Consider the following 15,405-nt stretch of genomic DNA (forward strand, 5'->3'; position numbering starts at 1 on the left):
GAGCTTAGCTAACCCAAGACCCTCAGCCACCATGGTCAAGGATAGGATCTGGAGAAGCTGCTTGCTAGTCAGCTCCCAGCCACTGAATGCTTAAAAGAAGTCCATTTGCTGGCATGTCCCTGTCTTCCCACACTTAGAACAAAGCTTATCTTTGAATTTTCATGACTATCTGCTTTAAGAGGGAAGGTCACCCAGACTCAGGCTCTCAGCCTACCCCAACACCAGGCCTCAGTCCAGCTCTGCATCCCTAGTCATAATGCCTGCACCCACAGACCCAGCCTCCATGCTGGCCCCTGCAGATACAGACTCCGGGCCCACCCAGCATCAGGCCAGCAACTATGGCCCCAGAATCCAGTCCCACCCTAGGTTCCAGACAAAACCAGAGCCAGGTCTGCCCACATAGCCCAGTGCCAAATTGGCACCCCAATGGCACCCAAATTGGAGCCTGCAGACACAGGCTCCAGGCCTGCCCAGTGCCAGGCTAGTCTCTATGACCACCCCCACCTTCAGGTTGGCCCCTGCATTCCCACAATCCAGCAGACCCTGGGTCTAGCCCAACCCAGTAGACCCCAGCATTGGGCCGGCCCTCAGAACCCCAGGACTGCCCCTATGGACCTAGGTTCTAGGCTGAGGCCTGTGGCCCCAGGACCCAAGCCAGCCCTAATGAACCTAGCCTTCAGACACATCCATCAGACTCAGCCTCCAGGCCCATTTCAGTGGACCCGGGCACCAGGTTCATCCTAGCACCTGGCCAATCTCTGAAGACCCAGGCTCAAGGCCCAGTCCAGCCCCAGGTCAGCCCTTGTGGACCTAGGCTTTGGGATAGCCTCTCTGCACAAGATACAAGCACCAGGTCCATGCCTGAGGATCCAATCAACAGGTACACCCCAGTGGATCCAGGCTTCAACCCCAACCCCACGGACTCAACACCAGGCCACCCTGCCTAAGGACTCTACCAGCAAGTCTACCTGCAGATCACACCAAATGGCCTACCCAGAATCTCTGGGCAGGCTGACTGGTGAATGGCTTTTCCGGACAAAGCCAGAATGCAAAAACCATTCACCAGCAAAAGTCCCTGCTTCTTCAAATGCACAGATACCAATGCATAGCCATGAGGATCAAGAACAATCAAGGAAACATGTTGCCACCAATGAACAAAATAAAGCACCAGGAACAGACTCTAAAGAAATGAAGATACGGCCGGGCGTGATGGCTCACGCTTGTAATCTCACACACTTTAGGAGGCCAAGACAAATGGATCACCTGAGGTTAGGAGTTCAAAACCAACCTGGCCAACATGGTAAAATCCTATCTCTACTAAAAATACAAAAAATTAGCCGGGCGTGGTGGCAGGCGCCTGTAATTCCAGCTACTCAGGAGGCTGAGGCAGAAGAATCGCTTGAACCCAGGAGGCAGAGGTTCCAGTGAGCCAAGATCAAGCCATTGCACTCCAGCCTGGGCAACAAGAACAAAACTCCATCTCAAAAAAAAAAAAAGAAAGAAAGAAAGAAAAAGAAGACACATGAACTGCCTGACAAAGAATTCAAGATAACTGTTTTAAGGAAACTCAGCGAACTTCAAGAAAATACAGAGAAACAATTAAAGGAAACCAGGAAAACAATAAATAACTAAAACAAAAAATTTACGAGAGATTGAAATTATATTAAAAAAATCAAACAGAAATTCTACAGCTGAAAAATACGAGAATTGAAATGAAAAATGCAATAGAGAGTATCAACAGCAGAACTGATTGAGCAAAAGAATGAACCTTTGAATCTAAAGACAGATTATTTGACAATATACAGTTGGATGAGAAAAAAAGAATGAAAAGAAAGCAAGCTTATGGGATTTATGGGAACTGGAGTTCAAGAAGGAGGAGACGGACACAAAGGGATAGAAAGCTTAAAGAAATAATAGCAGAAAACTATACAAATCTGGGGAAAGTTATAAATATCTGGGTACAAGAAGGTCAAAAGTCTCCAATCAGACTGAACTCAAGTAAGACTATATCAAGAAGTATTATAATCAAACTATCAAAAATCAAAGACAGAGAGGATGCTGGAAGCAGCAAAAGAAAAAAAGTACATCACATTATAAGGGAGTTCTAACAGATTTATCAGCAGAAACCTTAAAGGCCAGAAAAGAGTGGGATAATATATTCAAAATGCTTACGGAAAACAAAAACAAAAACAAAAAAAAAAAAGGTCAACCAAGAATATTGTAGTTGGCAAAGCTCTCCTTCAGAAATGAGGAAAAAACAAAGACTCTGCCAGACAAAAGCTGAAGGAGCTTATCCCCACAAGATCTATCTTATAAAAAATGCTCAAGGGTGTTCTTCAAGTAGAGAGCAAGGGACACTATTCAGTAACACAAATATACATATATATATATATGAAAGTATAGGCTAGGTGCGGTGGCTAACGCCTGTAATCCCAGCACTTTGGGAGGCTGTGACAGGTGGATCACCTGAGGTCAGGAGTTCGAGACCAGCCTGACCAACATGGTGAAACTCCACCTCTACTAAAAATACAAAATTAGCTCGGCATGGTGGTGCATGCCTGTAATCCCAGCTACTTGGGAGGCTGAAATGAAAACTATAAAACATTGATGAAAGAAATTGAAGAAGACACAAATAAAATGAAAAGATGTCCCGTTTATGGATTGGAAGAATTGATACTGCTATAATGTCCATACTATACAAAGCAATCTACAGATTTAATACAATCCCTATCAAAATTTCAATGACAATTTTCACAGAAATAGAAGAAACAATTCTAAAATTCATATGGAACCACAAAAGACCCCAAATGGCCAAAGCAATTGTGAACAAAAAGAACAAAGCCAGAGGCATCACAGTACCTGATTCCCAAATCTACTACAAAGCTATAGTAATCAAAACAGTATGTTACTGGCATAAAAACAGACACACAGACTGATGGAACAGAATAAAAGCCCAGAAATAAATCCACATATTTATGGTCAATTTTTTTAAACAAAGATGCCAAAAAATAAAACACACACACACACAGGTCAAAGGACAAACACAAAAAGGTCAAAGGACAATCTCTTCAATAAATGGTGTGGGGAAACTAGATATCCACATGCAAAACAGTGAAATTAGACCCTCATCTCACACCTCACATTTACAAAAATCAACTCAAAATGCACTGAAGACTTAAACATAAGACCTGAAGCTGTAAAACTACTAGAAGAAAACCTAGGGAAAAAGCTCCATGACATTGGTCTGGACAATGATATTTTTGGATATGACACCAAAAGCCCATGCAACAAAAGTGAAAATAGACAAATGGGATTACTGAAAGTTTCTGTACAGCAAAGGAAACAACAGTAAAGAGACAATCTATGTAATGGGAGAAAATATTTGCAAACCATATATTTGATAATGGGTTAATATGCAAAATATATAAGGAACTCAACTCCACAGCAAAAGAAAACCCAATTTAAAAATGGGCAAAGGATATAAATAGACACTTCTCAAGAGAAGACAGAAAAATAGTCAACAGGCATATGAGAAAGTGCTCAACATCATTAAACATTCAAGAAATGAAAATTTAAACCACAATATCACCACATCTGTTAGAATGGCTATTATCAAAAAGACAAAAGGCAATAATAAGTGTCAGCAAGGATGTAGAGAAAAGGGAACCCTTATATACTATTGCTGGGAATGTAAACTAGTACAGTCACTATGGAAAACAGTATACTGGCTCCTCAACAAATTAAAAATAGAACTATCATATGATCCAGTAATCCCACTACTGGATATATATCCAAAAGATAAGAAATCAGTATGTCAAAAAGATATCTGCACTCCCATGTTCACTGCAGCATTATTCACAATAGCCACACTATAGCATCAATCTGAACATCCATGAATGGATGAATAAAGAAAATGTGGCACATATACACAACAGAATAGTACTTAGCATTTTTTTGTTTTTGGAGACGAGGTCTCACACTGTCACCCAGGCTGGAGTGCAGTGGCACAATCTCAGCTCACTGCAGTCTCCACCTCTTGGACTCATCTCAGCCTCCCACCTCAGCCTCCCAAGTTGCTGGGACTAGACACATGCCACCATGCCTAGCAAATTTTTGTATTTTGTGGAGACAGGGTTTCACCGTGTTGCCCAGGCTGGTCTTGAACTCCTAGGCTCAAGCAATCCACCTGCCTCGGCCTCCCAAAGTGTTGGGATTACAGGCGTGAGCCACCATACCTGGCCTACTGAGCTTTCAAAAAGGAAATCCTGTTATTTATGACAACCTAGATGAACTTGGAGGACATTATGTTAACTGAAATAAGCCAGGCACAGAAAGACAGATACAGCGTGATTTCACTTACATATGGAGTGTAAAAAGGTCAAGCTCATTAAGAAAATAAAATGGTGGTTATCAGAAGCTAGGGGGATCAGGGAAATGCTAGTCAAAGGACATAAAATTTCAGCTGGATAGGAGGAATAAATAAGTTCAAGAGATCTATTATACATTATACAGACTATAGTTAATAACAGTATGTTGTATATTTGAAAATTGCTAACAGAGTACATTTTAAGTGTTCTCACCACAAAAATCCTTAAGTATGTGAGGTAATGTGTATGTTAAATAGCTTGATTTAGCCATTTCACAGTGTATACATATATCAAAACATCAATATATATAATTTTATGTATTAATTAAAATAAATAATTTTCTTTTTAAAAGAGGAAGAGGCCCACTGAGGAAAATCAAATAATAACTCATAAAACTGCTGAGGTAGCCTATGTAAGCCATCATTACTGGTTACTCAAAAACATCATTAAGGCTGGGCACGGTCGCTCACGCCTGTAATCCCAGCACTTTGGGAGGCCGAGGCGGGCAGATCACGAGGTCAGGAGATCAAGACCATCCTGGCTAACACGGTGAAACCCCATCTCTACTAAAAATTAAAAAAAATTAGCCAGGCGTGGTGGCAGGCGCCTGTAGTCCCAGCTACTTGGGAGGCTGAGGCAGGAGAATGACGTGAACCTGGGAAGTGGAGCTTGTAGTGAGCCAAGACCCTGCCACTGCACTCAAGCCTGGGCATGACAGAGCAAGGTTCCATCTCAAAAAAAAAAAAAAAAAAAGACCATCATTAAAAATATAAGCAAGCAACAAAAATTCACTGCTCCTATGAGGAAACCAGCAGTTCAAAATGAGGGAACAAAACTAACCAAAACAAACAATGCCAATAGTCTCTAATAAAATAGTTAGTGCAGGAGATAAAGGCGTTAACATCAACCAATTTATGATTGATATTCCTAATAATATTCAAGAAGATACTGCATTGATAAAACCTAGCCAGGCTTCAATTTAAAAAGGTAGCAAACAAGAAATAAAAAGGAGCTATTGAATAGAAAGCCATAATTGTAAAAAAAAAAAAAAAAAAAAAAAAAAAATTAATGCTCAGGCAAGAAAACAGCAGATTGGGCTGGGCGCAGTGGCTCACGCCTGTAATCCTAACAGTTTGGGAGGCTTAGGCAGTTGGATCACCTGAGGTCAAGAGTTCGAGACCAGCCTGACCAACATGGCAAAACCCTGTCTCTACTAAAAATACAAAAAAAATTAGCCAGGAGTGATGGCGGGCACCTGTAGTCCCAGCTACTTAGGAGGCTGAAGCATGAGAATCACTTGAACCCAGGCAGCGAAGGTTGCAGTGAGCTGAGATCACACCATTGCACTCTAGCCTGGGAGACGGAGTGAGACTCCATCTCAAAAAAAAAAAAGAAAAAATAGCAGATTGAAATGGACATGGCTGAAAACCAAATTAGTATATTAAAAGTCCAAGTTGAGGAATTCTCCCAGCACAAAGATAAAATGATAAAGAAATGGAAATTATGAGGAAAAAAGATAAGCTACATGGCAAACTATCAACAATATCCAATCTCAGAATTACTGGAATTCTAGAATGAGAGAACAAAATAAGGTAAATGGGAACAATAATCAAAGAGATTATAAAAGAAAATACCCTTTAGCTGAAGAAAGCCTTGAGTCTTCAGATGGGAAGGACTCGCTAAATGCTTGGCAAAAATACTATGAAAAATCCACACATTCGTACACGCTCAGACACATGCAGATTATCCAACCAAATTCAGATTTTTAAAAGCTGGAGGCATCATGCTACCTGACTTCAAACTATACTACAAGGCTACAGTAACCAAAACAGCATGGTACTGGTACCAAAATAGAGATATAGACCAATGGAACAGAACAGAGGCCTCAGAAATAACACCACACATCTACAACTATCTGATCTTTGACAAACCTGACAAAAACAAGAAACGGGGAAAGCATTCCCTATTTAATAAATGGTGCTGGGAAAACTGGCTAGCCATATGAAGAAAGCTGAAACTGGATCCCTTCCTTGCACCTTATACAAAAATTAATTCAAGATGGATTAAAGACTTAAATGTTAGACCTAAAACCATAAAAACCCTAGAAGAAAACCTAGGCAATACCATTCAGGACATAGGCATAGGCAAGGACTTCATGACTAAGACACCAAAAGCAATGACAACAAAAGCCAAAACAGACAAATAGGATCTAATTAAACTAAAGAGCTTCTGCACAGCAAAAGAAACTACCATCAGAGTGAACAGGCAACCTACAGAATGGGAGAAAATTTTTGCAATCTACCCATCTGACAAAGGGCTAATATCTAGAATCTACAAAAAACTCAAATTTATAAGAAAAGAACAAACAACCCCATCGAAAAGTGGGCAAAGGATTATGAACAGACACTTCTCAAAAGAAGACATGTATGCAGCCAACAGACATATGAAAAAATGCTCATCACTGGCCATCAGAGAAATGCAAATCAAAACCACAATGAGATACCATCTCACGCCAGTTAGAATGGCAATCGTTAAAAAGTAAGGAAATAACAGATGCTAGAGAGGATGTGGAGAAATAGGAAGGCTTTTACACTGTTGGTGGGAGTGCAAATTAGTTCAACCATTGTGGAAGACAGTGTGGCAATTCTTCAAGGATCTAGAACTGGAATTACTATTTGACCTGGCAATCCCATTACTGGGTATATACCCAAAGGATTATAAATCATGCTACTATAAAGACACATGCACACGTACATTTACTGCAGCACTATTCACAATAGCAAAGACTTGGAACCAACCCAAATGTCCATCAATGATAGAATGGATTAAGAAAATGTGGCATATATACACCATGGAATACTATGCATCCATAAAAAAGGATGAGTTCATGTCCCTTGCAGGGACATGGATGAAGCTGGAAACCATCATTCTCAGTAAACTATGACAAGGACAAAAAACCAAACACTCATAGGTGGGAACTGAACAATGAGATCACTTGGACACAGGGTGAGGAACATCATACACCGGGACCTGTCGGAGGATGGAGGGCTAGGAGAGGGATAGCATTAGGAGAAATACCTAATGTAAATGATGAGTTGATGGGTGGAGCAAACCAACATGGCACATGTATACCTATGTAACAAACCTGCACGTTGTACACATGTACCCTAGAACTTAAAGTATAATAATAAAAAAGACACCAATACCCCAAATATAATTTAAAAAAAAAAGAAAGAAAATAAAACAAATTTCCAGACAGAAAACAAACAAGCTACCTAACTAAAAACAGGTAACCTATTGAGAAAAAGAAGCAGACCAGGATAAGATTTCTCATTTTCAATATCAAATTAAAGTAGAGAATGAAGCAATATTTTCAAACTTTTTAGGGAAAATGGCATAATCAACGATTTTATACCCAGCCAAACAATTTGTGTACAGGTGAAAAATATGTACAGATATCCAAGTATTCAGTACACAATACTATATGGGAAAAATATAAAGGTATTCTTGACAAATACAAAAATTAGTCAAAATTTAAATTCAAGAAAGATGATGCTATATATGAGACAGTGGTTAAGAATGAAATCTGTAAGAATTATCAACATAAAATAAGTATTGATAATGTGGCCTAGGAATTTAATGCTGCCGTTAAGAAATGACACTTAAAACAGAAAAGGTTAATATCTTTAAAAATTAATATCACTTGTAGTTAAAATTCCATATAATTTCAACAAAACCTAAAAGGTAGGTAGAGGGGGAACAACGAAAACTGCAATTTGGAGGAAAAACTGAATTTCATTTCATTAATTACTTGTGAGATTAAAATACTTTTTTATATGTTTCATAGCTGGTTGCATTTTTTTCTCTTTGTGAACTGCTTATCTGTAAGGATATCAGTGTTTTCTAAATTAGTTCTAGAACTTTTTAATATATTAAATATATCCACCAGGCGCAGTGGCTCACGTCTGTAATCCCAGCACTTTGGGAGGTTGTGGTGGGCAGATCGCTTGAGGCCAGGAGTTCAAGACCAGCCTGGTCAACATGGCAAAACCGTGTCTCTACTAAAACTAAAAAAATTAGCTGGGCATGGTGGCACATGACTGTAGTCCCAGCTATTTGGGAGGCTGAGGCACGAGAATCACTTGAACCCAGGAGGCAGAGGTTGCAGGGAGCAGATATCAAGCTACAGCACTCCAACTTGGGCAAAAAAGCAAGCAAGCCTCTGTCTCAAAAAAAATAATAATAACTTTTTTCAATCATATTTGTTATAAATATTTTTCCAGTTTATTCTTGTCTTTTAAACTGTGTGATATTCTCTGATCTGCAGAAGGTAAAAGTTTTATGTATTTAAGCTACACAATCTTTTCCCTTAGAATTTGTGTTGCTTTTAAAAAAATTAACCTTTTTTATTTTGAGATAATTATAGATTCACAGGCAGCATATAAGAAATAATACAAGCCAGGCACAGTGGCATGCACCTGGAGTCCCAGCTACTCAGGAGGCTGAGGTGGGAGGATCGCCTGAGTCCCAGCATGGGCAACATGGTTAAGACTCTATCCCTTTAAAAAATACTACTACTAGTAATACAGAAATCCCATGTACCCTTTATCCAGTTTCTCCCAAAGGCAACATCTAGCAAAACTGTACTACAATATAACAACCAGGATATTAATATTGATATAGTCAGTATACAGAACATTTTCCATCACCACAAGGACCCCTTATGTTGCCCTTTCATGGCACACTCACTCTTCCCTACTCCTATTCCCCTCTTAACTCCTAGCAACAACTAATCAGTCCTCTATTTCTATAATATTGCCACGTCAATTATAAATGGAATCATATAGTATGTAACCTTTGGGAATTAGTTTTTTCCCCCTACTCAGCATAATTCTCTGGAAATTCATCTAGGTTGTTGTATATATAGTTCATTCCTTTTTATTGCTAAGTGTATACCACAGTGTGTATATATATATGTACCACAGTTTATTCACCTCCTAAAAGACATATGGGTTGTTTCCAGTTCTTGGCTATTGAAATTAAGCTGCTATAAATATTCACAAAGACTCATATGCAAAAGTTCATAGCTACTTGAGTCATAAGAGTGCAAAGCTAGGAACAACCCAAATGTTCCTCAACTGGTGAATGGACAAATTATGGTATAAGCATATAACTAAATAATTAGCCCTAGAATAAAGGCTGTTCTGGACCCAAACTAAAAAATGTTAAAGCTTTAAAGGATTCAACTATTTTCTACTAACCTAAATGCTAACCTAATAAATCCAACACTATTTAAAGTACTAAAACAAAATCCAGCACCTAACAATGCAAAATTTGTAATATCCATCATCCAATCAAAACCTACCAGGTATGCAAAAAAAAAAAAAAAAAAAAAAGGGAAATTAGGACCCATTACCAGGAGAAAAATTAGTCAACAGAAACATTCCCAGAAATGGCATGGATGATGAAATTAGCAATTAAAACAGTCAAGAAAGCTATTACAGATATGAATCATACGTTTAAGAGAGTAAAATATGAATAAATGAGACATAAAAAAGACCCAAATGAAACTTCTAGAGATGATAATGTCTGAAATTAAAAAACACTGAATAAGATTAACAGTGGGTTAGATACAGTAGAAGAAGACATCAATAAACCTGAAGACATAGCAAGAAAAACTATTCAAAACTAAGCATGGTAAGAAAAAAAAAAGTGAACAGAACTCACATGACCTGTGGGGCAATATCAAACATATATGCAACTGGAGAGCCAGAAGGAAATAAAAGAGAGACAAAAAGACACAGATCATTAATAAAATAATGGCCAAAAATATAGATCATGGGTCTAAGCTTCCACCTTGAGAAACTAGAGAAAGGCAAATTAAACCAAAAGTACCAGAAAGAAAGAAACACAAGTCAATGAAATAAGAAACAAACAAACAAAAAGAAACCAAATTACAGTTCTCTGAAAAGATCAACAAGGATGATAAACCTCTGGGCAGCTTGATCAGGAAAAGAAACAAATTACCAGGATCAAGAATAGAAGAGGGTGCACCCTACAGATCTTACGTATATTAAATGGATAATTAGACTATATTATGAACAACTTTATACTAACAATAAAGTTGACAATATGGATGAACTATGTAAATTCCTTGAAAGATACAAACTATCAAAAGTTCACTCAAGAAGTGAATGAACGAATAGCACTATATCCATAAAATACATTAAATTCATAGACATCTTCCCACAAATAAAACTCCAGGCCAACTGGGCACAGTGGCTCATGCCTATAATCCCAGCATTTTGGAGGCCAAGACCAGAAGATTGCTTAAGAGCAGGAGTTCAAGACCAGGCATGAGTAGCTGGGCCTACAGGCATGCACCACCACGCCTGGCTAATTTTTTAAATTTAAAAAATTGAAAAATTAAAAAATTAGCCAGGCATGGTAGTGCATGCCTGTAGGCTCAGCTACTGAGGCTGAGGTGGGAGGGTTGCTTGAGCCCAGGAGATCAAACAGTGAGCCATGATCACGTGCCACTGTACTCCAGCCTGGGCAACAGGGCAAGACCCTGAAAAAAAAAAGAAAGAAAGAAAGAAAAAGAAAAAGAAAAAGAGAAAGCAAGCAAGCAAGCAAGCAAGCAAGCAAGCAACTCCAGACCAAGATAATATCACTGGAGAATTCCACATAACTTTTATGGAATAAATAACAGTAACTCTATGAAACTTTTCCAGAAAATAGAAAAAGGAACACATCCCAATGCATTTTATGAGGCCAGGATTACCCTGAAATCAAAACCAAAGAAATTACAGGAAAAGAAAATCACAGACCAATATCCCTCACATATGCAAGACCTATACACTGGAAACTACAACACACTGCTGAGAGAACTTTTAAAAGATCTAAATAAATGGTGAGATATAAGACGTTCATGAACTAGAAGATTCAATATCGTTACAGTATTGATTCTTCCAAATTGATCTAAAGATTCAAAGCAGTACCAATCAAAATCCCATCAGGCTTTTTCATAAAAACTGACAAACTGATTGTAAATTTATCTGAAATTGTGAAGGAAATAGCCAAAATAATCTTGGGAAAAAAAATCTGAACAACTTGAACTACCCAAAATAAAGACTTACTATAAAGACATAGTAATAAGGACCGTGTGCTATTGGTACAAGTAGAGACATACAGATCAATGGAACAGAATAGAGCCCAGAAGAGACAAGCACACGCATGGTCAACTGGTTTGTCAAGCAAATGTCAAGCTAATTAAATGTAACAAAAGAAGCTGAACAATTGGGTATTTGATATGGAAAAAAATAAACCTCAGTCCTGACACCTCAGATCATCTATAAAGGTTAACTCAAAATAGATCACAGGCCTAAATGTAAAAGCTAAAACTGTAGAATTTCTAGAAAACATGGGAATTGGGAAACCTTGGGTTAGCCAAATATTTCTTAAACAGAACATAAAAAATGGGCTGGGCACGGCGGCTCACACCTGTAATCCCAGCACTTTGGGATGCCGAAGTGGGTGGATCACAAGGTCAGGAGATCAAGACCATCCTGGCTAACATGGTGAAACCCCGTCTCTACTAAAAATACAAAAAAATTAGCCAGGCATGGTGGCAGGCGCCTGTAGTCCCAGCTACTAGGGAGGCTGAGGCAGGAGGATGGCATGAACCTGGGAGGTGGAGCTTACAGTGAGCCGAGATGGCACCACTGCACTCCGGCCTGGGTGACAGAGCAAGACTCTGTCTCAAAAAAAAAAAAAAAGTAAATCGTAAAGAAAAAAATGGTTAAGTTGGACTTCATCAAAATTTAAAACTTCTACTCTTTGAAAGATGCTGTTAAGAAAATATAAAGGCAAGCTACAGAAAATATTTGCAAAATACAGAAATGATAAAGAATTTGTACTCGGAATATATACAGAACTCTTGCAACCCAACAAGAACCTAATCAACCCAATTTAAAAATTGGCAAACTACTTGAACAGACACTTCAAAGATATGCAGATGGCAAATAAGCACATGAAAAAATGTTCATCATCATTAGTCACTGGAGAAAGGTAAATTAAAGTCACAATTAAGGTATCATTTTACACTCACTAGAATGGATAAAATTAAAAAGACTGACAAGACAAAGTGTTACCAAGGATGTGGAGGAACTTTAATTGCCATACACCGCTGGTGGGAAGGGAAAAAGTAGACCTACTTAGGAAAGCAGGTTGACAGTTTCTAATAAAGTTAAACAGGTGGCCGGGCGCGGTGGCCCACAGGCCCACACCTATAATCCCAGCACTTTGAGGGGCTGAGGCAGGCAGATCACTTGAGGTCAGGAGTTTGAGACCAGCCTGGCCAACATGGTGAAACTCCGTCTCTACTAAAAATACAAAAATTATTCAGGTGTGGTGCCAGGCACCTGTAATCTCAGCTACTTGGGAGGCTGAGGCAGGAGAATCACTTGAACCCACGAGGTAGAGGTTGCAGCGAGCTGAGATTGCTCTGCAAACTCCAGCCTGGGCGACAAAGTGAGACTGTCTTGAAAAACAAAAACAAAGTTAAATATACAATTACCTTAAACCCAAAAATCTCACTCCTAGGTATAGACTCAAAAGAAATACAAATATATGTTCAAACAAAGACTCATATGCAAAAGTTCATAGCTGCTTGAGTCATAAGAGTGCAAAGCTAGGAATAACCCAAACGCTCCTCAACTGGTGAATGGACAAACAAATTATGGTATAAGTATATAACTGACTACTACTCAGCAAGAAAAAAATTTCAGATACACTCAATAACAAACATGAATGTCAAAAGTATTACGCTAAATCAAAGAAGCCAATGAGTATATGCAGTATGATCACTTACATAGAAAAGGCAAAACTAAAGGCACAGAAAGCACTTCAGTTGTTTCCAGGGGCAGGAGAAGGGCATTAGCTACAAAGGGGGAGCTTTCTGGAGTAATGGAAATGTTCTTTATCAAAATTACGGTGTGATTACACAAACTCTATATATTTGTCAAAACTCATCCAACCGTACATTTAAAACTGGTTAATATTACTGTTTATATATTATACCTCAATAATGAAGCTGATTTTTTAAAAATCTGTAACATCTCTTTTCTGGGCTGACAGCTAACAAAAAAATGAGAAGACACTGTTTACCTTCCCAGTCCTCCATGTAAGGGGCCTCCTCAGCTTCTTTCTCTGGAGAAAATCTGTCAATGAATTTTCCTTCTTTCATGACCCTGGTGATTTCTCGGAGCTGATGTAGCAACCGTTTCTCTTGGTCAGAAGTCACAGTCTGTGCTCTGCTTAGAAATATCAGACAATCCAACCATTTAGTGGTAAATACTCCTAGGCAATGGACGTAAACATCACTATGGTCTGTCTGGGTACTGGAATAGAAAGTGCAATTGCAGCAGATAATTATTCTAGGAATTGATCCTCCAACTGCATAGCTGGGAACTAGAGATGTTAGTTCAATGCTTTGATTTTATAAATGGGAAAATTAAAGCCCAGAATAGATCAAGTGATTGCCCAAGGTCCCGAAATTAGTTAATGTCAATACTAGGACCAGACCCCAGATGTCTCAGCTTTTAGTTCAGTGTTTTTTCAGGGTATGTCAATGCCCTGATTCTCTAATCGCCTAACAATTTCACTGCTACTCACATTACTCCATTTACTACAAGCCACTTTTCTCTGAAGCAAGGTCATCAAAGGAAAACGTTCTGGGCCATTAGCATCAACCGGGGAAAATTTATGCTACTAGAATCACCAGGCTTAATTTACGTGTGCAGGTATAAGGATATATTCTAAAATTTCAGAGGTGGGTGATTTTGAAAATTCAATCATCTAGACTAGAGAAATTGAGGAAACTGGGGTCCACAGAGGAGAAATATTGTTTATATATTCATACTGCCACTTAATGAAGCACTATAACTAAAACCACCCAGGCTTCTGATTGCATTCTGCGCAATTCTTGAAGCACAGTGCTCAAGTTCCACATTTTGGAAAACCTGGTTTGAATCCCAACTTACTTGTGTGGTTCTGGCAAATATCTGCAAAAATAACATGAGACTCAAGGATAACAGTTTGATTGTTTTCTTCTAGAGGAAAGCACTGCATCACACTGACAGGCAAACAAGGTCCTACTTAGAAGACTGATAACTATCTGCTTTGAGACCAGTTTTATCTAGCAGCAGGATTTAATGGAGGCTACTTATTCTCTTCTTAAAACCCAGACACAAGTTAATACAACACTTACAAAGGAAAAATGATGTACTATGTACTAGCCTGTGGAGATGGTCGTCTATTTTTCTAACAGCCAGTTCTGAGCCTGCATTCATTTCTCTGCTCAGCCTAACTTTAGCCTTAATGACTAATAAGGAAAATGAAAAGAGTATTTCTCCTTTCAACATGAAGATAGTAACTGAGGAAAATGAACATTACCAGAGACCTCAGTGAAAGGAAAATGGAAAACACCACGAGCTCCACTTCTTCCACACCAAGCAGCTTCAAAGCCATGAACTACTAAAGATGCCTGTCTGTTCCACATTCAGCTAAAATCCTATACTTACAGGGCCTCTGATAGCTCTATTCTTCCCATCAGTACAGGAGTCCTGACTCTCCACAACTGCTCGTGTGTCCCACATAACCCCTATTTCTTACTGTTAAAACAACCCACTTTGTGTGAGGCTTCTGGGGCAGACTAGAAGAGCTTACCTGCTTATCACAAACTCTTGTCTCTTCAGGCGGCACATGTTACTTTTCCAGACTGTACGCAGGGCATTCTGATCTTCAATGAATGAAACAGTCTTAATTCTGTTTCCTAAGTCATGGGAAATCAGAAGCCCTTATCCTAAAAGAGGATGGGTAGACTACAGGAAGCAGGAACAGACAAGAGCTTTCCCAGAGAACTCCAAACCAAAGCATCCTCATTTCACTCTTAACAAGTATACTTTTATTGTCCATATCATGCATTATGCATTAATCATGGTCTACCTTATGACATCTTCTGAATTTATTGCAATGA

General features: G+C 38.9%; 1 protein-coding gene across 34 annotated transcripts in view; it reads right to left on the reverse strand.

Annotated features, from left to right (window-relative positions):
• The window catches only part of RIC3 (RIC3 acetylcholine receptor chaperone), a 76,061-nt gene that overhangs the window by 20,159 nt on the left and 40,497 nt on the right, over nucleotides 1-15,405 (reverse strand). For 11 of the 34 annotated variants that reach the window (XR_001747957.3, XR_007062500.1, NR_144485.2 and 8 more), the window contains one exon: nucleotides 13,536-13,681. The exons of 4 other annotated variants lie outside the window; for them this stretch is intronic. Coding sequence is in view for 10 of the 30 variants with exons in the window: in NM_024557.6 (NP_078833.3) it covers nucleotides 13,536-13,681 (146 nt within the window). In the remaining 20 variants the exon portion in view is untranslated. Of the gene's footprint in view, nucleotides 1-13,535; nucleotides 13,769-15,095; nucleotides 15,232-15,405 lie in introns of those variants that run through there. 19 more of the 34 variants (XR_428851.5, XR_930896.4, XR_930900.4 and 16 more) reach the window with 6 other exon arrangements.

The sequence above is a fragment of the Homo sapiens genome, chromosome 11 (assembly GCF_000001405.40).
Source record: "Homo sapiens chromosome 11, GRCh38.p14 Primary Assembly".
NCBI classification, from domain to species: Eukaryota; Metazoa; Chordata; class Mammalia; order Primates; family Hominidae; genus Homo; species Homo sapiens.